This window comes from Homo sapiens, chromosome 3 (assembly GCF_000001405.40).
Source record: "Homo sapiens chromosome 3, GRCh38.p14 Primary Assembly".
Lineage (NCBI taxonomy): Eukaryota > Metazoa > Chordata > Mammalia > Primates > Hominidae > Homo > Homo sapiens.
Genome location: NC_000003.12, coordinates 194,694,175 through 194,720,070, shown reverse-complemented (window position 1 = coordinate 194,720,070; position 25,896 = coordinate 194,694,175). Strand labels below are relative to the sequence as shown.

General features: G+C 46.3%; 2 long non-coding RNA genes across 4 annotated transcripts in view; both read right to left on the bottom strand.

The window, feature by feature from the left end:
* Positions 1 to 11,650, bottom strand: part of LINC01968 (long intergenic non-protein coding RNA 1968) — a 73,748-nt gene extending 62,098 nt beyond the window's left edge. Inside the window, exon 1 of the long non-coding RNA NR_037891.1 lies at positions 10,924 to 11,650. This is a non-coding gene — a long non-coding RNA (long intergenic non-protein coding RNA 1968). The remainder of the gene's footprint in view (positions 1 to 10,923) is intronic.
* LOC105374292 (uncharacterized) overlaps positions 1 to 14,498 on the bottom strand; it is a 120,878-nt gene extending 106,380 nt beyond the window's left edge. For all 3 annotated transcript variants that reach the window (XR_001741084.2, XR_002959667.2, XR_002959668.2), the window contains exons 1-2: positions 14,095 to 14,498; positions 13,034 to 13,233 (exon numbers count right to left, since the gene is read on the bottom strand). This is a non-coding gene — a long non-coding RNA (uncharacterized LOC105374292). The remainder of the gene's footprint in view (positions 1 to 13,033; positions 13,234 to 14,094) is intronic.
* Positions 14,499 to 25,896: the final 11,398 nt, after the last annotated feature.

The following is a 25,896-nucleotide window of genomic DNA, read 5'->3' as shown; positions in this document are numbered from 1 at the left end:
GCCTATTCTTGACTTCAAAAACCGCCACACTCCGTTTGGGCTCCATTTTCTCAGCACTTGATGAAATGAGAGACTGCCTGGAAAACAAGCACTTCACCCACATCGAGGTATCACTTTCAAGGTCTCAGAAAGAAAGTCTGGAATGAGTGTTAGTCCAAATTCCATTCCAGATTCCCTTATGTGTTCATTTCTAGGGCTGCCATAACAAAGTACCACAAACTTGGTGCCTGAAAATAATCGAAATCTATTCTGTTCTGAAATCTATTCACTTCTGGAGGCTGGAAGTCCAAAATCAAGGTGTCAGCAGGGCCATGCTGCCTCTGAAGTCTCTAGGGGAGAATCCTTTCCCTGGCTCTTCCCAGCTTCTGGTGGTGGCCATGGATCCTTGTCTCCCCTGGGCTTGTAGCTGCATCACTCCAATCCCTGCCTGTGTGTTATCACATGGCCTTTTCCCCTGTGTCTCTCTCTCCTTATAGGGACACCAAGCTTTTCATTTAGGGTCTATCTACCCTAATCCTATATCACCTCATCTTCACTTGATTGCATATGTAAAGGCCCTATTTCCAAGGAAGGTCACATTCACAGCTTCCAGGAGGATATTGATCTTGTGGGGTTATATTCAAACCGGTACACCTCATAAACCACCTGTAGGGATTCTTGATCTCCATCCCTAGGAGGCAGACAATGGAGACATTTGTACCAGTCTATCTGCAAATCTATTTAGATCCTTAATCCTTCTCTAGAATACCAGAAAGAAAGCCACCTGCCCACAGTCAAAAGAAAATGACGTAGCTAATTAGGTTGTCGTTTTTAATGTTTTTAAGACCAACAGAGATGAAAAAGACACTATCCTTGTGGGTTTTTTTCAGATTTGATTCCACATTTTTAACAGTAAGCCCATTTTATGCCTGTTTAGAAACAGCAAACATAGTATTTAAAGTGTAATCAGCCAGGCGGGGTGGCTCACACACTTTGAGAGGCCAAGGCAGGCAGATCCACTTGAGGCCAGGAGTTCGAGACTAGCCTGAACAACATGGTGAAACCTCATCTTTACTACAACTACAAAAATTAGCTGGATATGTTAGTGCGCACCTGTGGTCCCAGCTACTCCGAGGCTGAGGCAGGAGAATCACTTGAACCCGGGAGGCAGAGGTTGCAGTGAGCCGAGATTACACCACTGCACTCCAGCCTGGGAGACAGAGCAAGACTCCATCTCTAAATAAATAAATAAATAAATGTAATCAACTAATGTTTTTCTCCTAAAGAAGCTTGATAGATTATCACACACACACACACACACACACACACACACACAACTGAAAACTCCTTTTATTTTTCCAATTTAGCATTGTAACTTAACGTTGTAACTACTAATTTAGATGGTCCCAGGAAGCACAAAAAGGAGCCCAGGCTGATGGTCAAATTCTGTAGTAATTCCTATGAGATGATCATTTAACACCAGTCACTCTTACTTCTTCACAACTTTCTTGTACAAAATCCAAGATAGGTTTTAGGCAGAGCTATTGCTTGTGTTACTCTTCAGACCCAGGCCCTAGGTGTATTTGCAAAATTAAACCATGTTAGGCTTTGAGGAACAAGAAGAGGCATTTTTTAAAACTTCCCCAGTCCCTGGGGTCCCTGGGCTGACCTAGAGGTCTGGGTTGGGAAATTAACTATTCCCATTTCCATTTCTTCCCGTCATTTAAGCTGTTTCCTTGGAATGTCACAGCCCATCTGTGCTTCCTTCTGTGAAATGAGGCCTGTGACCATTGGCTGTGTACCATTAGGGGAGCTAGAGGAGCAGCCAGGAGATGTGAACTCATTCTCGCCCTCAAGTCACATTGACTCTGCACCTAGAAAGGCAGCAGGCAGTAGTAGCAGATCAGGGGTGGAAGGCAACAAAGAGCTGAAAACAAAGCTGTCCCTCTGGAGTTGTACTGCCTAGGTTCAAATCTTAGATTCATTCTGGAGAGACAAGATAGAAACTTCTCTAAGCCTGTTTGCTCATCTGTAAAATGAGGTTAACAGTGCCTGCTGCTTGGAGTTACGCAGAAGTACTGCGATAGTGAAGGTAGCAAGTGCCTGGCACATAGCAGGCATTCAGTAAGGCTAGGCCTCATTAACAGGAGTTCCCGCTCTGCTGAACGTTCATGGCTGCCTGGATCAGAGTCTTAAGAAGCCATGTTCAGGCTTAATGGGAAGGAATGTCCTGATAGATTACTGATGTCTGCCCTGGGTGGTTTTACTGGAGTCACGTATTTGCCAATTCTGCAGGCACCATATTGAACTCATATTTTTCTTCCCAAGACCCCTTCCAAGCCCCTTGTATGGTAGACACACCTTTGTATGGTAGACATGCCTGATAGCAATAACTTCTTAAGCATACACAGAGAATGGCTCTGTATGGCAGATACACTTGAATATGTGTTCAGAGTTCTGAGTGTGGCCAACCCAGAGAGTCATTCCTTACCTATGAGGAACATCTGAGCCCCCAGCCATCCAATCGAAGGTGGACCATACAGGGGACTGAAGCTCTTTGTTTTGGGTTAAATGGAGGTTGCCAGGTGGAGGTCATTAAGGGGAGCATATGAGGTAAAAATGTTGTGTTAACTGCACGCTTTCTGGAGGCTGTGGCAGTTCTGTTCAGCCTGCCGCCACTGCACCATCCTTGTGTGTAATTCCCCCTAATAAAACCATGTGTCTCATTCGCTGGTTCTGGGTCTCTTTTTTGGCTTGTCAAGCCTGGTGCTGTCCCTGTTGACATTAACAGGGGTCCAGTATAACAGTATCCCCTTTTGTAAATCCTTGCTCTGAAACTCACCACACCGATGTGTCACGCTGAAGTGAAAACCTAGTTGGTCCAAAGCTGAACAACTAGAGGCAGGATGCTAGAGAGGAGAGAGCCACAGCTAGTCCCAGCTTCTCCGACAACTCAGCCACGACCCCGAGCAGAAGCCAGCCCCTCTCTGACCCTCAGATCCCTTATCCATAAAACAGCAATGATCACCTCAACTATGGGTGTTGTGAAGCTCAAATGGTGTAAGACATCAGAACATGCTATATAAAAAGTTGTTTTGCAGGAGTAGGGAAGCAAAGAATGAAATTGTACCAACCCATCAAAAGTTTAACCAAATATCAAAATATATATAGTCAGTTATACTCAATTTGTCAGTATCTTCCCCAAATTTCAGCCAAACTTCCTTGGTACTTCTGTTTCCCCTTTCTGTCTAAGATGCCTCTATTCCCATCCTGGGATGAGTATTCAACTGGAAATGAGCCTCTGCTTTACCTTTTATAACCAGTTCTTAGCCAGAGGCTTGTGGAAACTTCCAGGGTGTCACCACCTTATTTAACTAGAAGTAAGACTTTAGCCATGCTGCTCATTGAAAGCTAAATGCTGTTGAGATAAGTATGTGGCTCCAGACCCAACCTCCTAGCCTAGGCCTCTAGACAAGTGTGAACCAAAGCCAAGAGTTCCAAGCACTGCCCCTCCCGCCACACCATTTTCAATTGCTGTGACCACAGCTGTGTGATTTGGGGTAAGTCTCTTCCGCTCTTTAGGCTCCAGATCCTCCATTAGCCTGGAGTCTGTACCTGGAATAGGGAGAAGCAGCCCAAGAGAGTCCGAGCCTCAGAGGCTTGCTGTGTCATGCACAACGGGGGAGCCCACTGAGCCAGGAGGAGCCGCAGAGAGGAGGACGTGGCTAAGGTGGAAGATTCCAGAGGGACCCTCGAGCCTGCAGTGCCTTCAAGGACCACACGCCAGGGCCTGCTCAAAATCTTTAGCCACACTCAGCATCAATGTCTTAGGAGACACAAGCCCAAAATAAATAGGAAATATCCCTTAAATACAAATTCTTCACAGTCTAAGATGATGGCTTTATGTAGCTGGGTTTAATTTGGGCTGTTTATTTCAGATCTGTGGTAAGAGTGAGCTCCACAGGCAGGAGGGCAACTAGGTCCCAGGACAAGCAGATCAGAAGCACATATGGGCCCTGGGAGGAAAAGCCATTTCACCCTTTGAGACAGCCTGGAGGTTATTTCTGTTCTGCCTACCACACAAGTTATCCAAGGTAAAATTAGGGAAGAACTTTGTGAAAAACATGCAAATTATTAAATGTTTTCTTTTTAAACGTTTTCTCTTACTTTTTTAATAGAGACAGAGTCTCATTACGTTAGCCAGGCTGGTCTTGAACTCCTGGCCTTAAGCAATCCTCCTGCCTGAGTTCCCAAAGTGCTGGGATTACAGGCGTGAGCCACTGCACCGGGCGGTGGCTTGGGAAAGAATTTGAGAAACCGAAAAAATGAAGGTGTGATAGCTCCTTCCCATTGTTAGGATGGTGGGGGAGCTCCTCAGGAGCCCAAGAGGAAAGTCTGGTGTTTACAGATCAGAATCTTAGTACAGACAGTAGGCTCACCTAATGCGATAGAAGGTAAAGAAAGTACTATGCCTAGACCACCCCAGGCAGATTGAATGAATCACATTTCCTGAGTCTGCGGCTTGGAGAAGAGGTGTTGTTGTTGTTGGTGGTGTTGTTTTGAGCTCCTAGGAGATTCTGAGTTTCTGCAAGATTGAGAACCACTCTTGGAGAATCTTATCCAGAGCTGGAGGCTGGCACTCAGGCTTTTCTGCAGGAATCTGAGAGAGGTAACTTGGGAAAGAACGGCTGGGAGTGAAGGAAGGAGGAGGAAGGGTAGCTTGGTGAGAAGAAAGAGACAACCAGAATCTGAAAGGCCTGCAATGCTGAGTGCCAAATCTGACCCTAGGGAAAGGTAAATCAATGCTTTGTGTCTGTGCTAGGCAAACTCAGTCTGCCAGTTCTCATGCAGACAGCGCGCTTGGAACTGTGACAAATGATACATTATGCAACCATGACATCATACCAACCTGGTGAGGCAGGTATGGATGCCCCATGTACCAGAGGAAGAGAGGGAGATCTAGCGAGGTGACATGATTTGCCTAAAGTCATCCGGGTACTTGCTGCATGAGCTGAGATTCCAGAGCAGGTCCCCTGCCTCCAGGACTAGACAGGAGCACTGGTGAGGAGGAGGCTCAGTCTGGATTTTCTTGGAATGTTGACATAGAACTGAACTGGACACGTTGTTATTAAGAATAAAAAGGACGAGACCAGGCAGATTAATAAGCGCATATGACCAGGACAGTGGAGACTTCCATGAATTATCTGAGCACTTAGTAAAGCCTGAGGAAGTAAAATAAAATCAGGATCTCCAGGCCCCAAAGCTTCCTCCATCCCTTCGTGGGAGGTGAGCATGAACTTGTGCTGTTCTTACATCAGCCCTGGAGTACAAAGGCTGGAGCCACCCAGGGAGGTACTTAGGGCAGGCAGCACACCTCAGAACAAGATGGTCCAGCACCAAAGCCTTGCTGCTGAGACTTTCAATTCCCAGCAGACCGCAGGTCTAAGAAGTACAGCCAGAAAAAGAAGGGAAAGAGGCATCGCATGTTGTGGTTAGCAGGGCTGGGCACACGCACCCCACAAGTCAGCTCTGGTGCCCAGGTGCCCTCCACGCCCCATGTCACCATGTCCAGATTCACACCAGAAGGGCCCACCAGCCCACTCCTCCCCTGTGTCTTCTCCGCCCGTCTCATGCACTTTCTGAGTTGGTGTCCTACTTTCCATTTTTTAACTTTATTTATTTTTTATTATGGAATATTCCAAGAATGCAGAGTCTAGGGAATTACATGTACCCACCACCAGACTTTGTCAAGTCTTAACATTCTTTTCCATATTCGCTTCACATATTTTTTTTAAGACACAAACCTCACAGATACCATTGAACTCTCCATGGACCACTCCCTCGTTTCATTTCCCTCCCTCTATGCCCAGAGGCAACCGCTCTCGGGAATTCCACGTTGATTATTCTCATACATGACTTTTTACTTTTACCACATATGTGGATATCCATAAATAATCAATGGTATTCGAGCACATGTTTAACTTAATAGAATCATTGTAAATAATATTAACATAGTATAAGCTAATATAATATTAATAAATTATAAACTAATATAATATTAATAAATTATAATATCTTGTATAATAATAAATAGATAACATGAAATATAATAGCAAATAAATATAATATTAATATTAATGGAATCAAACTGTTATTTGCTGTTTTTTTGCTCAATACTTTTGACGTGGGATTCCTCCATGCTAATGGGAGTTCATTTATTTTGGTGTTGTTTCCAATTTTTCACTGTTACAAAGAAATGCCATAATGAATATTCATGCACATGTATGGGTCTGCCCAGGTTACATATCTGGGAGTGGAATTTCTGGGTTGTGGGGAATGCATAGCCTCAGCCTTATGACCCATTTTCTTTTCAGCCACTTTGCCTATTCTTTGCTATCACAGGGATTTCCCCAGATCTAGGATGGAATCAGAAAATGCTACCCACTTCAGAGGTTTTACCCTGGGCATGTTAAAAACCAATTTTTTTAAGAGGAAAGAAAAACAATGTAACCTGTTGAAATGGGAGTTGATAATCGCAGGCACTCAACGCATGCACGAGAGCCCACACTGAGTTGGGCTCTGTGTCTGCTTGTGAGCACGAGCCAGGGATCCTGGCCCAGATCTGCTCAAGGAGCCAAGGAAATCAAACTGCTGAGCCTGAAGCCTAGACCTAACCCCCGAGTGACCCGCCAGCTTCGTTTTGGGGCCCAACCTAAAATAGGCAACTGCCCTATCTTTTTTTCCCCTTTTTAAAATATTTAATGTCATTTTCCCTGATTATCAAAGTAATATGTTCTCCTTATACAAATTTTAGGGCTAGGCACAGTGGCTCACACCTGTAATCCCAGCGCTTTGGGAGGCTGAGGCAAGCTGATTGCTTGAGGTCAGGAGTTCGAGACCAGCCTGACCAACATGGTGAAACCCCATCTCTACTAAAAATACAAAAATTAGCCAGGCATGGTGGCGAGCGCCTGTAATCCCAGCTACTCTGGAGGCTGAGGCAGGATAATTGCTTGAACCCAGGAGGCAGAGGTTGCAGTGAGCCAAGATCGCACCACTGCACTCCAGCCTGGGCAACAGAGTGAGACTCTGTCTCAAAAAAAAAAACAAAAACAAAATTTAGAAAGTTCATACAAATATTTTTTAAATTATGTTAATCACCTTAAGTAGCACTACTCAGAGACATCCACTATGAACATTTTAGCCTATTTCTTGCCAGTCTTTTTTCTTAGTGTTTTTTCCTTAAATATGTAATCTACTGTATCCTGATATTTTACCCTAATATATATATTTTTTTCCATACTACTAAAAACACTATAAACATAATTTTAATAAATTGGGATCACTTTCACTTCATTTTCTATTATCTACTTATTCCTATATATTGGACATTCAGGTCATTCCTAATTTTTATTTTATTTATTTATTTATTTTTGAGACAGGGTCTCTCTCTGTCACCCAGGCTGGAGTGCAGTGGCACGATCTCCTCTCACTGCAGCCTCGACCTCCCTGGGCTCAGATGATCCTCCCACCTCAGCCTCCCAAGTAGCTGGGACTACAGGTGCACACCACCACACCTGGCTGATTTTTGTATTTCTTGTAAACATGGAGTTTCGCCATGTTGCCCAGGCTGGCCTAATTTTTATTTTTACAGTTAAACTGTAGCAGATATATTTGGGCATAAATCTCTGATGGCCTTTCAGTTCCCTAAGAGAGGATCCTCAAAGTGTAATTATTAGAAGGGCAAAAGACATTTTTAAAGCTTTTGATACTATTACTAAACATGGTTTCTAGAAAGAGGACCATGTTACAGGCCCACCAACAAAGTGTACAGAATATGCCTAGCCTGTCTCCCTCTACCTGTCAGCCAAACATGATGTCTCTACACTGGGGCTCAGATGTGGGAAGGGAACCTTTAAATAGCCAGCGTGCCCAGCCACAGAATGTCACGTTTGGTGGAGAAGAATGTCTGGCATCCTCCCAAGCTGTGTGTATTAAGTTGCTTCCTTCCATGAGAACTAAGAAGACAGCAAAATGGATGAATCATACCGTGGGAAAGTCAGACTCTAAATCCAGGTCCCTTATAGTAAAGACAGTTGAAATAGGCCACTGGGCTGGGCGCCGTGGCTCATGCCTATAATCCTAGCACTTTGGGAGGCTGAGGCGGGTGGATTGTCTGAGCCCAGGAGTTTGAGACCAGCCTGGGCAACAAGGTGAAACCCCGTCTCTATTAAAATACAAAGAAAATTGGCCGAGCATGGCAGCATGCATCTGTAGTCCCAGCTACTTGGGAGGCTGAGGCAGGAGAATTGCTAGAACCCATCTCAAAAACAAAAAAGACACAAAACCTAAAGAGCTGTTGGTCGTGTTTTCTACAGCCCAGAGAAAGCCATTCTGCCATGAGGTTTAAGAGTACAAGAGGCAGACAGAAAAACATATGGAAAATGGAGAATCCAGATGTATTTCATGGCCTCGTTCTAGTTGTTCTGGGCACCTAATTCCCTCCGCACCTTTGTGGAGTTTGGACAATCTGTGAGTGCTTCTCCAAATGTGGTCTGTGGACCAGTTCCCTTTCCCAAATGATGAGTTACTAGTTCATAGTGAGGTCAGTTCAGAAACTGAGTGCTTAGTCACTTTTAGAACAATTGCTGGGATATCAAGTGAAATTTTGTCTTTCAAGTAATTCGTATTTGATTTACCAAAGTCTTGATCTACAATGGATTTGAATAATAACATTAACACTAAAAACTTGGTCCTTCAGCACAGAGAGTTTGAGAAACACTTCTGTGAGACACTCCTGCAGGACTACTGCATATGGTGTTATAGGCAGTGTACGGTGCAACTTTAGGAGGTGCAATTCTACATAGATGAAAAAGTGAGCACTTCTCCCACCACCTGAATTGTGCAGTGCACAACCTGCCCAACAGGAGACAGCCCTTTGGCCCCAGTATCCTTCCGGCAAATTTCTTTTTGTTTTGCTTAAATCAGCCAGAGTGTTATTTTTCTGTCGTTGTTGCTTTCAAACTAAGGCAATTTAGATAATACATCTTCTACTGTCCCAGTGGCCTAAGGAGTCTTGCTCTGTCACCCAGGCTGGAGTGCGGTGGTGCAATCTCGGCTCACTGCAACCTCCGCCTCCCATGTTCAAATGATTCTTCTGCCTCAGCCTCCTGAGTAGCTGGAATTACAGGCGCACACCACCACACGTGGCTAAATTTTGTATTTTTAGCACAGACGGGGTTTCACCATGTTGGCCAGGCTGGTCTTGAACTCCTGACCTCATGTGATCTGCCTGCCTTGGCCTCCCAAAGTGCTGGGATTACAGGCGTGAGCACTGCGTTCGGCCTAGGTTTTGTGTCTCGCAGCCTCAACCACCAGAAAAAGAATTATTGGTCCCAAATTCAAAATTTCCAGGGAAGGGACTTAGTGGCTGGGAGGTGGGTCACTTTGGCCAAGGGATGGCACACAGAAGAAAACACCAGTTCCCTTGGAGACCACAGGAATGAGCTGGGAGCAGTTCTTGGAAGAAGAGACGGTGCTATCGGAAAAAGTGGATGTGCCAGGCGGACTGGGCGGACTAAACAATAGGTTTCCAATTATTGGGTCTACACTTTCCTATATCTAGATTCCACTGAATACTTATTCTGAAATATATTCTTCCAAAAACAGGGTTTGTGGTTAAATAAATGTAGGGGAAACTATAGATTTTATCACTCATAGAGAATCATGAGACATATTAGCATATGAAAGGCTCTGACAATTTCTTTTAAAAAGAAACATCTTCAAGAATATTTGACCCAGTGTTTCCCAAGTTCATTTGATCACTGAAACCTTTTTTAATGCCATGCCCGTAACATTCCATGGGATTAGTGTTCTAAAAACATATTTTGGGAAAGCCATTCTAAGTGATAGATGTTCTTCAGAAAGACGTGAGTCAAATTCTTGAAAATAAGATAGCAGCCTGGGCACGGTGGCTTGCACCTGTGATCCCACCACTTTGGGAGGCCGAAGCGGATGGATCACCTGAGGTCAGGAGTTCGAGACCAGGCTGGCCAACATGGCGAAACCCCGTCCCTACTAAAAATACAAAAAAAAAACCACACAAAAAATTAGTTGGGCGTGGTGGCAGGCGCCTGTAATCTCAGTTGCTTGGGAGGCTGAGATAGGAGAATCACTTGAACCCAGGAGGCAGAGGTTGCAGTGAGCCGAGATCATGCCATTGCACTCCAGCCTGGGTGACAGAGCAAGACTCTGTCTCAAAAAAAAAAAAAAAAAGAAAGAAAGAAAAGAAAAAAAAAAGGCCTTTACACAAACCAGAGAGCTGGGTATTTATAGAAACTGTTAAATTATTTTCAAAGAGTTGTTTCATAACGTAATTTAAACGCCATCAGTGCTACCAGTTTCTAGGCTCAAGAGTTTTACGTGCTCAGAGTTACGTGTCTTATTAACATGGGCTACATCTCTGCAGCCCCAGACCTTCCCTATCTGGAGCATTCCTCTCCCGGGCACCCTCACATGTTGTTCAGAAGCCTTTTCAACTGTTTTCTAATACCCTGTCCCCTTTGGGGTAAAGCACATCTTTATGCCATTATGGGGCTGGCCACTGCAGTTTGCAAAATCAACTTAGCACAGGGACATCTGTTCTACTCTGTGTGCTGGTGTCATAAAAGGTCCCACTGGGCTGAGCAATGCACCTGAGAGCAGTGTTAACAGCACCTCACATCTGGGGTGGCCTGGAGGCTGGGCCAGCATGAATTAGTGTAATGAAGGTCTTCTCCTCTCTCACACGAGGTTGGAATCTCACACCAGATCAACTACCTGGATTAGAGATACAACCAAAGAGCACAGTAAACTGCATGGACATTTAGGACCAGAGCACTAATATAGGTTGGCTATTAAATCTGGAAACAGGTGAATATATAATAAATGGTTTGTTGGTATTACCTTATGATGCATGATAATATAATATCTACATGTCCAGACTTCATGGCCACTCTGTAGCAGAAGCTATTATTTATATCAAGCAGTTATTAAGTGTCAGGAGGTCCTCTTCTAAATGCTTCACCTGAATTAGCTAATTTAATTCTCACGATGCCATGAGGAGGGTACTGTCATCATTTCCACAGTAATAGGTCAGGAAACCAAGGCACAAAGGGCTTCAGCATCTGGCCCAAGGTCCGCTGTTGGTAAGTGGTGGGGCTGAGCTCGGGGAGCCCCACTCTGGAACCGGTACTCTTACACATACACTACGGCCGCCTCTCCAGGTGTCATGAAAGTCTCCTAGGCTTTGCTGAATAGCAGTCAAAAAAAACTGGGATTTAGCCTTCTCTATCTTGCTATTTTTGTTTCCATGGGTGGCATAGGAAAAATCATTGTAATTAACATCTGTACCACTCTTTGTAGTTTGGTCCTCATCACGACCCATTACAGCAAACCAGGCAAGGCCTATATTTCCATTTCCAGATGAGGAAGCTGAGCCTTTAACAGGATCCCTACCTAACAAATGGCAGAGCCATGTCCTCTGACGTCAGGAGCTTCATGATTTTAACTTACTGCTTGTGTTGGGTTCTGTGGTAGCCAATATACAAGGTGGTCCCGAGTGATCTTTGCCTCTTGTGTTATTTCCTCCCACGCTGAACAGGACTCACTTGTATAACCACTGTGACATTGTGGAAATGATGATGTGTGACTTCTGAGGTGAGGTCATAAAAGGCATTGCAGTTTCTACCTTGATCTCTCCTGGATCATTCACTCAGGAGGAAGTTGGCTGCCATGTTGTGAGGATGCACAAGCAGCCCCATACAGAGTCCCTCCTGGTGAGGATCCAAAGCCACCTGCCAACAGCCCGTGAAGAACTAAAGCCTTCTGCCCACAACCAATGCAACCAGTGCTAATTTGTCAGCCTTGTGAGTGGGGCCCCTTGGAAACAGATCCTCCAGCCCCATGCAGATGACTGCAGCCCAAGCTGACATCTTGACTGCAAATTCATGAGAGACCCCAAGTCAAATTCACCCAGTTAAATCACTCCTGCATCCCTGACTCACAGGAATTGTGAGATAATAAATGTGTATTATTGTTGTAAGCCACTTAAAATGATTTTTAAAAGCCGAGCTTGGTGGCACGTGCTTGTCCTCACAGCCACTCAGGAGGCTTGAGTCCAGGAGTTCAAGGCCAACCTGGGCAACATAGTTAAAAACAAAACAAGGCTGGGCACGGTGGCTCACACCTGTAATCTCAGCACTTTGGGAGGCCGAGACGGGCGGATCACCTGAGGTCAGGAGTTCGAGACCAGCCTGGCCAACATAGTGAAACCCCATCTGTACAAAAATACAAAAATTAGCCAGGCATGAGGGCAGGTGCCTGTAATCCCAGCTACTCAGGAGGCTGAGGTGGGAGAATTGCTTGAACCCGGGAGGTGGAGGTTTCAGTGAGCTGAGATTGCACCATTGCACTCCAGCCTGGGCAACTGAGTGAGACTTGGTCTCAAAAAAAAAAAAAAAAGAAAAAGAAAAAAAAAGCAGTTTTTTAACTATTTTTTTTTTAATGTGGGAGAAGTGTTTTATGTAGCTGTGGATAACTAATACAAGTTCTCACTCCAAAGTCCTAATCCTGATGAAGGTTTAACTGGCTGTGGTCTTAAGAAAGTCTCGGAAGCACTCTCTGCGATTCAGTTTCCTCTCCCGCTAAATAATAATCTAAGCTGATTTCTGAGTCACCCTTAAAGTGAATAATGAACCATGGCAGCTGGGTTCAGGGAACACTCTCTGTAAAGCTGAACTCCTGGCACACATAGGCTGGTTCTTGGCAAACCGGCACCATGTACCTGTCAGGATTTAAGGAACATTTCATTTGTGCATCCAATCTACCAACACGTAAAGACCTAATTTAGGTAACAATAGACCACGATCGTCACTGAGTATCACTTAAGTTCCCTGCTCTGTGCCAAGATACCCCCAAAGTAGGGGGGCCTCTGCTCACACCGTTAGGTTCACCAGAAATGCCTTCCCTTACCCCACAGCTACCACAACTATCCCTTGCCCAAAGCCCATCTCACCTGCCTCTGAAGCTTCCTCAGGCAGCTCCAGCTAACACTGCCCTCAGGACCACCCACAGCAGGAGAAGCCGCAGGTGTGTCAGCAGACGTGTGCTGGTCAATGTTTAACAATCAGCTCTCTGCAGAGAAAAGGCCTCTCTTGACTTCTGTGGTGTTAATACTTCTACCGTAGCTGGTTTAAAGCTACCAGCATTGCATCCCTGAAAGCAGAATTGGAAAAAGATATGCACGATCAGTCTCCCAAGCCAATACCAGCTGCTCCGGCACAGCCCTGTGTTTCTGACTCCTTCTTTCTCACTGTCCTCGTGATTACTTTGAAATATCCCTGGAACCTGCCCTTTCTGCATTCCCAGCATCTCTCCCTCAGCCCAGGCCTTCATCCCACCTGGACTATTGCAAGAGCCTCTTTCACCTTCTGTCTGCCTTCAGATCCTCCTCACCCCCATCCTTCCTCCACACCACACAGCAGGAAGTTCCTATACCATCGCCTCAGGGCACCAGGCCCTCTGTCCTCAAAATCCTTCAAACCCACGGTTTTCAACGGGAAGGTCAAAGTTGTTGGATATACAAGCTCTTAATGACAGACCCTTGCCTATATCTCATCTTCACACACACACACACACACACACACACACACACACACCACACACACACAAACACACACACAGACACACACACAAACACACACACACAAACACACACACAGACACACACACAAACACACACCACACACAAACACACACACACACACACACACAAACACACACCACACACAAACACACACACGTGCGCGCACACACACACACACACAAACACACACACCACACACACACACAAACACACACACACAAACACACACACACACACACACACACGTGCGCGCGCACTTGACCCCAGGGGACTCATGTGATTCCTGTAGCCTAAATGCCTTCCGCAGTCACAAATCCCACTCCTCCCTCTGGGCTCATGGGCATTATCCTCTTCCCTGCTAAGCATTCCTCCCCACTCCCACCACTGCCCATCTCCACATTCCACTGGCGTTTTGCTGAGAGCTCACTCACCATGGGGAAGCACCGCCAGCTCTGCGCAGCTCTGACCTTCTCTCCTCTCCCTGAGCCACAGGCTCCTTGAGGACAGGACTGTATGGCGGGTCTCCCATTCTTCAGTGTCCTGGCAATGGGAGAGCCTTTTCGGATTTGGAGAGGGGAAAGGTAGTGAGGAGGTCAGTGGGGTGAGGCCGTGGGAATGGGGCAGGACCGGAGACTTCTCCCACCCTGAAGCCTAGGACAAGGCTCCTGGCAGAGAGGAGTACAGGTTGTGGAGGTGGGGGTGTGGAAAGAGGAGAGTGGGCAATGGAGCCTTCCAGAACCCTCTGGAGTGGCTGAAGCTCCAGGGACCACCGTGAATGCCCCACCTGTTTTCTCTGTCCCTCTCCCAGGACTGAATGTGCCACCCTCAGTAGTTTGGTTCTACGTCTTTTACATTGCTTTAAATTGGATAATTGTGGGCTCAACACAACCCCGTGGTCACATGTTAAAGGCTCCGGGCCAGGATCTGACCCCGAGGAACATTCGAACTGAAGCCACTGATCACATGGACAGTGTCTTAGATTTCAGGTGGCTTCCTTAAAATAACCGCAAGAAAACGCCCTTGGCGTGTCAGCTCTGCTCCAATCATTAGGAGAACTGGGCAAGCCTCTTTCTTCTAGCTGGGTTTTCCATCTGAAAAAGACAGTTTGTAACCAGATGATCACCTGTATCTTTGACACTTTGACTCTAAGCCAATCCCCCCTCTCTGTGCCTTCATTTCCTCATCTATGAAATGGAGGTTATAACATCTACCCACCTCAAAGGGCTGTTTAAGGTCAAATGAGATCATGGACATAAAAATGTCATTGTAAGCTGTTACTATGAAATATGGGTTATTATTTGTGAAGTTCAATTATTGTGTTATAAGTATTTTATAAACATTCCTGGGTGATTTAAGTAGATTTTAACGTGATTGTAGGCATCATGGTGAATGCTCATTTAGGAGAAAAGCAAGAATACATTAAAGGCAGGTCCTCCTAAACAGGGACCCTTCCCATGGCTGAGCAAACTCAGAAACCAGACATCTGCGGGGGAAGCTGTGGACAAGCATGGCAGGCCCGGCCTGAATCAATAGTTTACATGATTATGTTTAATTCCCCAAGATCGACACAAAGGATTGGACATTTAAATCCAGGCAAGCCTGTTTATTCTAAGGCTTGTCCTGAATGTTCAGTCAGCCTTTCAGCAGATATGCTGCAGAGAATTAAAGTTACTCACAGCTGTTTGCATTTCCCAGGTAGAGCATAACTAGGCCACTATAATACTTCAAAGCCTCTTCTTTCCACCTTTGCTATTATTATTATTATTCAGTTCTACAAAAATAAGGTCAAGATCCAGAAGTAAGCCGCCAGATCTGACTTTGATCTTTAAGATCATGGCCACACTCTGCCCAGCAGCCTTCATCCTCATGTCTCCAAGCACAATAAAAGTCTAATTAGGAAATCTTTATAGCGTCCTGGAGAATTGGTATGCCTGGAGTGACTGAAGCCACAGGCAGCATGAGGAGTCCAACTCATGCCATGGGCTTTGCCTGAAAATGATTGCCGACCTTCTCCAAGCTGCCAGCCAAGGAATGGCATCCCCTGTAACTTCGCGTCAAAGGTAAGCAGTGACATAGAGATAGACCAATCGGCAGAGGCACTTTTGCAGGTGATATAAGAAGTGCAGTTTCTATTTGTCATTCTATTTGATGTTTAGAATCACAAGTTACATCCTGAGCAACTCGCTTTTTCATCAGTGTACAATGACTTGATCTATACAGGTGAACAGAAACAGATGGCCTATCCACAGGTTACCATCTGTGTTACAATAACATCAAAACCCTGATGACTGAGATAATGAGCAAGAAAGAACAACTTACTTCTTTTCACCTTCCCAAATGCAAGAGTTAGCCTAGGCTTCCTGTCCACTGACCACAGGTCAGGAATATCCTCTTTATATCTAAAAGGGAGACTGCTGGAAAATAGGCATGAAAACAAAGCCCCCGGTGCTTCTGTGAAGGGATTAAATAGTATTATTAACAATAATACAGGCCTGGCGTGGTGGCTCACACCTGTAATCCCAGCACTTTGGGAGGCTGAGGTGGGTGGATCATGAGGTCAGGAGTTCAAGACCAGCCTGGCCAAGATGGTGAAAGCCCCGTCTCTACCAAAAATACAAAAATTAGCCGAGCGCAGTGGCAGGAGCCTGTAATCCCAGCTACTTGGGAGGCTGAGGCAAGAGAATTGCTTGAACTCAGGGGGCAGAGGTTGCAGTGAGCCGAGATGGCACCACTGAACTCCAGCCTGGGTGACAGAGTGAGACTCCGTCTCAAAAAAATATATAAAAATGAAAATAATAATATGTTATTATTATTATTACTGTAAAGTCCTTGATATTTGTAAATTAATTTGTACATTAAAAAAGTCCTTTTCTAATGATTGATAGAAAATCTGCTACTATAGACACACTAATTGGTAAAACATTGAATTACTTCTATATCTATTAAACAACCACCCACCCAAGCCTCACCACAGTACTCCTTCTTGTGTCCCCAGCTACCAAGGGTCTCCTCTGGCAGCGCCCCCTACACACACCTGTCCAAGATCCACAGTCAAAGAGTTAACAGCTGGCTAAGCAGAGGCCCCAGGACCTACTGGCCAGTGTTGTCCCCAGTGTCCACTCAGATTGGTGGGTGTCCATGCCACTCCATGCCACACTGGTCATTCAAGGTTTTACTGCCTCCTCTCCCTGTCTGCACTGAGAGGCTGAGGTCAGAACACCCCGCAAAGTTCCTCTGCACCCCGCACTCTGCTCTCCAGCTCTGCAGTGGCCTCAGTGTGCAAACACAAGTCAGACGGCCCCAGAACAGCCACGGGGCAAACGCCGAGTGCCCTTCTTTAGTTGTGAGGGAGGAGTGGGGAACCTCCTCAGTGACTAGCACTTAGGTGTGACCTCCTTCCCCTTGGCTGAGCCCCAAAGCCCCATGTTGGGTGCCTCTTAAAAACCAGAAATAATAACACCTAACAGCCATATGGGCAAGCCTTTAACCTGCCGTCTGCATCAAGTTTCCCTCTGTTCAATCCAATGGAGAGGGATAATGACCTATCTTAGGCTTAATTAACATCTGGGCCCTGCTGCTGGGAGATTCCCAAACCCAAGTCTCCCTGTAATTGCAAACCTTTATTTCTTTGGGCACTTTGATGACAGCCACATAATGGGAGCTGTGGCCCCAACCCCACCCACTGCCTCATACTTGCCGACTGCCAACCTCCCTCTCCACCTCCGCTGCCTCTCGCTGTTCGTCTCCGGTCTACCCGCCCTCCCCGGGACCGCTTACCCATAATCCCCTCTGCCTTGTGCCATTCTACAACACTTGGAATCAGGAGACCAGGACTCCAGCCCCAGTTCTGCCTGTTACTTACTCTACCGCCACGGGAAACTCGCAGCTTTGGCCCAGCACTTTGTTTGCATACGGCAGGTTCTAAACACTTAGTGGTCGCTTTCTTTTCCACTCCATTTCACCCCTTAATCCCCAGATCGCTCGAATCTGGAAATTGAGTTACTAATACTGCTCTCTGCCTGCCTCATTGGGTGATTATGAACATCAGGAAAGAAAGCATCTGAGCGCATGCATCCTTTATAAGTTAAAAGGTGCCACATCCATAGAAGAGCGACCTCCTCAGAACAAAGGCTTGGAGGCCAGACGCAGTGGCTCATGCCTGTAATCCCAGTACTTTTGGAGGCCAAGGCAGGCGGATCACCTGAGGTTAGGAGTTCAAGACCAGCCTGGCCAACATGGCAAAACCCCGTCTCTACTAAAAATACAAAAAATTAGCTGGGTGGTGGTGCGTGCCTGTAGCCCCAGCTACTTGGGAGGCTGAGGCAGGAAAATTGCTTGAACCCTGGAGTCGAAGGTTGCAGTGAACCGAGATTGCACCACTGCACTCCAGCCTGGGCAGCAAAGCAAGACTCCATCTCAAAAAAAAAAAAAAAAAAAAAGAAGAAGAAGAAAAAGAAGAAAGGCTTGGAAGGCTGGTGGGATCACTGGCTAGACACAGCCTCCCAAGGTGACAGTCCTTTGGTGAGGCTACCAAGTCGAGAGTCTGGCCTTTACTAATGCAGTTCCTAAGGAAATACTTGGTCTCCATCTTCAACATGTTTTGGGGGAAGCAGGAATCCCAGAAAGCAATTAGAAAAGGAAACAGCAGGCTCAGCTGCAGTGTGGTCAGAATCTATCCCTGGCACACTCCCTAATTCTGCTGAGACCTAACCCAAGCCTGACCTCCAGGCTCCTCCAGGAGGACAGCAATGAAAATTCCTCACATTTGTACGCTTTTCCATAAAAGGTGGCTTATATGTGTGATTTCCTTTGAATTGCACTATGTCGTAAGGTAGTATAATCATCCCTATTTACAGATGAGAGCATAGGACCTCAGAGAATTACACCACTATGTACAGTGTCACAGGAGAGCCTTGTGGGACGGGGGCGAGCCCAGCCTCTGAGTCTGAATCCTGCGCTTCTCCTTCAGCTGCTGGTTAGCCTCCAGGAAAGATGCAGCTTGCTTCCTTTGCTTTCTTTTGTCTTTCCTCCCTTCATTTTGTTTCTTGATAATGATATCTCTATTTCAACTATTAACAGTTGTATTCCTAATGTTATCAGAAGATAATACTTATAATAAAGTAATGCTGTATTCCATTAAAACCCATACCAGTAAATTTCCCAGATAATCCTGTTAGGTACCATAAGCCTTTCTAAAAATACCATTTTGAATCAAAATATCTCTAAAAATGCATTATGCAATTCTTTACTTTTTAATCAGGTTAGTTTATTGCAAATGTAACATGCTAATAAACAAAATAAAAATCCAAGCCAGGTGTGGTGGCTCATGCCTGTAATCCCAGCACTTTGGGAGGCTGAGGCAGGCGGATCACATGAGGTCAGGAGTTCAAGACCAGCCTGCCCAACATGGCAAAACCCCCTCTCTACTAAACATGCAAAAAATTAGCCAGGCATGGTGGCAGGTGCCTGTAATCCCAGCTACTCAGGAGGTTGAGGCAGGAGAATCGCTTAAACCTGGGAAGCAGAGCTTGCAGTGAGCCGAGATTGCACCACTGCACTCCAGCCTGGGCGACAAGAGCGAAACTCCATCTCAAAAAAAAAAAAATCCAAATATTACCATATATTATAAAGCAGGTAAACTTCTTAAGGATGGAAACCCAGTATTACCTCAGGACCCTCATAACTGAAGGCCAGACTTTGGACTGGAGTGGCCCCACCAAGCGACTGTAAAGGTCCACCTACCCTGCCCACCCTCCAGGCCAGCGTGAAGCATTAGCTAGTTCATAGAAGTGTTTCTAACAGCGGACGGTGGCTTCTCTGTCAGGCATCTCAGGGGGGCCGTGGCAGGGGGTGGACTCACTTAGAGGCTTCCTAGAGCGTGCAGTGAGCACTCACACCTCTATCTAGGTCCCCCTCTCATCTGGAAAGCAGGTGTCTGGGCTCCCTGGCGAAAGGCAGCTGAGGCCTCCAGGAAAGAAGAGCACAGGCAGCTTCCCTAGGGTGGCTGTGTCTGACAAGGAAGTAGAGTGGAAGGCCTGTCGTGGCCAGGTTTCTGATCTGCCCGGCACACTGGGAAAAAATGAGGCGACCCACTCTCTGCAGCTCACAGTGCAGAGGGAGGACCCGTGCAACAGGTCACAGGAAGACAAATCTCAGAAGACCTTTCCAAGAATCAGAGCTGTCCTTCCAGGGGCTGGGCTGTCCCAGGAGAAAGAGAGACCTGCTCCTAAGGGTCGTAAGAATCCAGGGACTGCCCCTCCTCCCAAGGAAAGACAGTCCAGCTCAAATGTTCCTTCTAGTCCCGAGCTAATGTGATTTTCAGCGTCTGTTTCTGAGAAGTTACTTGGGCTCTGGGTTCTGACCTATATTTAAAGCAGCCCCTAGGACCATGTGCAAACTGAATGATGAACACCTACACAAAACACAGATAAATGATTTCCCCATGACCCTTCCAAAGTCTTAGTTTGTATAAACCTGAGCCAGTGGTCATAAAATGAAGAGAGGACAAGAGAGTAGGTACTTTTTCTGTTTGGGACAAGATTTGAATCTCCAGGCCTGGCATGGTGGCTCACACCTGTAATCTCAGCACTTTGGGAGGCTGAGGCTGGAGGATTGTTGGAGCCAAGGAGTTTGAGACCAGCCTGGGCAACATTGCGAGACTTCCATTTCTACAAAAAGTAAAAATTAAAAAATTAGCCAGCCGTGATCGCACACACCAGTAGTCCCAGCTACTCAGGAGGCTGAGGCAGGAGGATCACTGGAGCTTAGGAGATCAAGGCTGCAGTGAGCTATGATCACACCACTGTACTGCAGCCTGAGTGACAGAACAAGATCCTTTCTAAAAAACAAAAAATTGAATCTCCAGTGTACATGCAGACTTGGATGAGTAGGCCTGCCCCTCCACCTGTTGCAGAGTCTGCACACCTCTTCTCCAAGCCCATTTCTCCATTTCTCTTTTCTTCTGGGCACACAGCTAGACTACATTTCCCAGCTTCCCTTGTAGTGACATATAGCCACGAACTGAGTTCTGGCCAATGGAACATGGGCAGAAGTTGTGTGTATCCCTTCTGGACCTGGCCCATTAAAATGTTCTAAATGATCATACACATTCTCTATCCACTGGAGGACATTCTTGGGCCAGATGCAGAAATTCCAAGACCTTAGAATAGAGATAAACAAGTTTTTGGGCCAGATGTAAATATTTTAGGCTTGTGAGCTACACAGTATTTGTTGCAACTGCTGTCAGAGTTCAAAAGCAGCCATAAATACGTAAGTAAATGAGTGTGATTGTGTTCTAGTAAAACTTCATTTACAAACAGCTGGCAGACTCAATTTGGCCCATGGCTCTTGCCCTAGGAGATGGTGGAGCCACAATGTAGAAGGAGCCTGGGTCTCTGAATGAATGCCTGGCAACCAAGAGTATTCATACTGACTATTGCATAAGTGAGGACTAATCTTTTATTATGTCAAGCCAGTAAGAGTATGAGATTTATTAAAGCAGCTGGTAATCTCTACCCTATTTAATTATACTCACCATACTCTATTTTTTTCTGGTGGCCAAGTGTGCAGGTCAAGAAATGGACCAATGAGGAAAAAACTTGAGTGGTTTTCTGAAGTGGCCTTTAAAACTACAGGGCTGGAGAGAGGCTGCAGGTAGGAGATTTCCAAAAACACCTCCCCACCACCAAAAAAAAAGTTCTGGAGAATGATGCTTCCTCTAGAACCTAAGTCAGGCAGGTTTGTGACTCCAGGCGGAGCCTTTGAGGAGACCCACTTTGATGGTTAAAGAGGAAGAGCATCTCCTCTGTGAAACCCTTTGTGATCACCCCTCCCTCCCGTGGGTGGGTTGGCTGCCCCTGCACTATATTCCCTCAATACTTTACACATAAACTGACCATGCCTCTCTTTATGTTGGATTGGTCTTACCCGCTTTGTCCTTTTCTGCTGGACATAAGAGCAAGGACTGCATCTCATCTCCCTGGGTTCATCCTCCAGCCCCCCACTTTATCCCCCAATCTCACCCCTTCCCCACACTCTCCCACCTCCCTCCACAACCAGCACAGTGCTTGGCACACAGGAGATACCTTGTGAATGTCCCTTCAGTGAAGGAGAGAACAGAAATGAATGAATGAAGACATGCATAGGTTGACAAATTTGCCTAGGTTACAGGGGGTTGGCTATATCACTTATCATTTTTCATCAAACTGGGATACCCTGAGGGTGAAAGGCAGCTCTACTGTAATTATCCACAGTCATCATAGCAGTAGGCGTCTTTGGACCATGGTCTCCAGCAATACAGAGCATTCTCAAAGGGAATCAGTGGTTTCAATTAGTTTAAGAACATTTAATATTAAAAGCAAACAAAGAAGAAAACTCAGAGCACAATGGAAAGGAAAGGATGCTGTGATCTGAAGGGTTTTTTGGCGGAAACCTGGGAGGATCGCACCGCTCTCTCATTGCGCTATGAGTTTTCACTGATCATTTCACACCAATGCCAAGCACAACAGGTTGAGTTGACAATACAGCTCATATCCACCCTAGAGCACAGTCCCAGGATTACCCACAGGAACACACACATGTATACACACACACACCACCGTTCTAGCAGGATAAGAGGATCCCACGTGTTCTTGTGTATACTCTCCCTGCATATGTTTCCAAGAAAAATCTCAGAACCTCCGCTTTTCTAGAAAATAATCAGTCTAAAGAATTACTTTAAGAGGATGTGTGTCCACTTCAGGGACATCTATTTGAGAGGTAAATGAAATCACAATTGCAAATATTTGTGGAAAGTTTTGGGCGGTTGTGCGTGTGTGTGTGCTTGAGTATAGAACACTAATCACATCAGTAATACTGATCTGGGCTGATAATCAAATGCTGACTAAATGAATCCCATTATATGGAACAAATAAAAATGCAGCCAGAGAGCATAGGGCAGCCGCCGTGCTCTCCTGCCACAGCTGAGGGAAGAGATTGGGCTGGAGATGGCCATGTAGCCCATGTGGATATCGAGCATTTTGGATGGAAACTTAGCCCGTAATGTTTCCACATGAAGTATGCCATTCAAATACCCACCTACTGCTTCCTACTCTTAATAAATTCCTTCATTTTTTCGGGTTTTCCCACCTTGGGCCGTGAGATATGTTTCTGAAAACCTTCCTACCCATTGGCACACTGGCTCCGTGGGCGAGCCTCACCGAAGCTCACCCAGCCAGACTGTATTCTTTCCGTGTGAGTACTCCAGCAGCAACCACTCCTTTCCCGTACTGCACTTTACAAGGCCCTTACTGGTCCAACATTTAGATTTTGAGCCTAAACACAACCTGAAAGAGAGAGTTTGATTAGGTATTACCAGCTCTATTTCACATCAAGAATTGGTGCCAAAAGGAAGCCTGCCCAAGGTCAAAGGGCTAATATATGGGAAAACCAGCGCTAGAACTGGGTCTTAGGTGCCTTTCTCCTTAGCTATACCTTACAGCCTCACCACCCTACCCCATCCAGCCCCCAATTCCACTTTTGTCAGGTAACGTTGGACACGTGCCAAGACCTGGGGCAGAGGAATGGAGTGGCAGATTTGTCGCTTATGACTGGAACCTGTTTTGATCTCATCAGTGTGGACACCTCCAGAAAGATCCGACCAGCCATGGACTCTGTAAGTTTCTTTCATCTGCAACCACTGCTGCAGACGCAAGAGAGGGAAGGCCTCATACACCTGGGTGTGTCTGTGGATCTCTTTCAGATAAGCAGCGTGGTTTGGTGCAGACACAAACAGTAGCACTGAATCACATGCTGCTCTTTTGAAGAGATGAGCTCCTCCACTGGAAATCAGGTGGTGAGCACCAGCAAAGGTTTCCCCTGGGAATCACAGCCACCGGGGGCAGGTCGACGTACAAAGATGAAGGTAGGTTTCCCTACAGGGGAAGCCTTGCGGGAAGACAGAGAGAAGCTGTGGGTAAGGAACTGCTGATGGTTTTGTAGATCTGTAAATGGTACCTGGGAATCATTGGCGAGCCCTGAACTGGAACACAGAACTGAGAGAGTGCTGATGCAGGACCCAGCGTCCCGACCCACCCTCCCTCCTTGAACTCATGTGACCTTGGCAACTTCGTTTTCTCTTTCTCTGGGCAGGAGTTCAGCTGCAAGATTGGAACCTTTAGGAACATGGCTTATGGTGTTAGGAGAACATCCATAAAGTGATTAAAAGTACTCCCTGCACTGAAATATTTGTTACTGCCCACGCTGGCCTCCTCCCATCATGGTGCCTAAAAATAGCCTTAATATTTGGCCTTTTAGATCTCAAAGACTTTTAATATTTGGGAGTCCCCTATTAAACTGTCAGGTCCATGGAAAAGTCATTTAGGCGAGTGTTTGGGATATTCACTGTAGACTGAGGAACAATAGCTTGAGGTGGCAAAAGTGGAGACTTTAGCAGCGTGAGAAGGGGGAGAGCCCTAAGCTTCACACACTTACAACTGGCTGGTGTCCCCAGGGCAGTGGGGCTCCCTACATTGTTGCTGAGAGTGTCTGAAAGAGGGCAGTGTGGCATCTTAGAAAGAGACTGGGGAAAACAAAACCTGGGTTCTAATCCTGGCTCTGCTGTAAGCTTCCTGTGGCACACGCACAAGTCCTTTCCCCTCTCTGGGCCTCAGTTTCCCTATCTGTAAAATGAAAGGATTGGAACCAAGGGGTGATGAGGTTGTGTCTGGCTCTCAAGATTTTGAAATGAACTGGTGAGCCATGATTGGCTAATCCTGGAGCAGAGGGTAGGGAGACTCCCCAGTCATCAGCCAAGACCCAACCCTTTTAGAGAAAGAATCCAGGATGGGGGTGAGTCCTGGAGCAGGAGGAGCCTGCTGCAAGACAGACAGGGAAGCATTCCCCAGGCCATCAACTCACTCTTCTTCCCAGACTTCCTCAAGTGGGTCTTGGTCTCCCTTGCCAGGAGCCCCAAACTCCCTGCTGCCAGATGCCCTCACGGCCTTTGACCAGATGTTTAGGCTCTGCCAAGTTTCCTTGGACAGTACCCTGGGTTGCCTCCATACTAACTTATCCCCACCTTAAAGGATTCATGGGAAAGAGTGTAGGACTTGGAGTCAGGGGCCTTGAGTTCTGGTCCCAGCTTGCTGAGTAATCTTAGGCAAGCGATTGCACTTCTCTGAACCCTAACTTGGCCCTTGGATTCAGTGCCAGTTGCCGTTTCAGGACCCACCATGGCCTCTAAGTTTTGAGGTAATGAAAGGGATATCTACTAGCTGGTTCCTGGCTTCGCCAAGGGAATGTCACTTCCAAACCAGACGTTGGTGAAGGTCCAGGAACGTAGGTCCTGAAGACGAGCCCTGTCCTCAGAGCCCGAGATAGTTTCTAGCCCATAGTCAGAGGCTTCTTCTGTTTTGTCCTACTAGGGAAAGGGGGAAGGGAGAAACACTCTTGACCTTAACCTTGGCTTCTTTACGTCACAATAGTGAAAGTCTTGTTATTGTCTAATCAAGGGCACCCACTTTACCTGGGATGATCCTGGGGCTGGAGAGGGGAAGTGACTTGATTGACTCACACACTGAGGAAGTCCAGGGCTCTCCAGGCCTGGACCCGTGTCTCCCTGGCTTTCTGCCACACCATCACATTGTTTGAGTCTTCATTTGGCACAATTTAGGGAGGTTTGGGCAGTTAATTTGGGGCTGGGATGAGCAGGGATAAGACTCCAATTCCGTTCAAAGCCGATTCCAAATAAACCATCCTTCTCCAAACCAGAACCACCCCTCCCTAGAAGGTCAGGGACATTCCAAGGAAATTCTTGGGAATTAAATATACCTCATGGAGAGGTGAGGAATTGAATGATTTCCAATTTTCCCTCCTCACCAAACATATATCCTTGAAACCTTGGTTCCTACTTCTGGACAATGACCTTGAACTTGATTAGACCTGTTCTCTCCTGGAGTGGAATCACTCCTTTACTCCTTCCTTTGCATTTCCTGAGTACCTACTAGGTGCCAGACCCCATGTTAAGTGAGGTAAATCAGAGCTGCCTAAGACATATGCCTGTCCTTGAAGAATTCAGCCAACCAGGAAGGACACAAATGATTCATATCCATGATACAATGGCAAGAGCTTCTCCACCCACAAACTAGATCCACTCTTCTAGGATGGGGTCTCACCACACCAGATACCAAGGGTGGGAGCAAAAGAAGACGAAGTTCCCCTGGGGGCTGCACCCCACCCACCGGCAGCATTCTCCC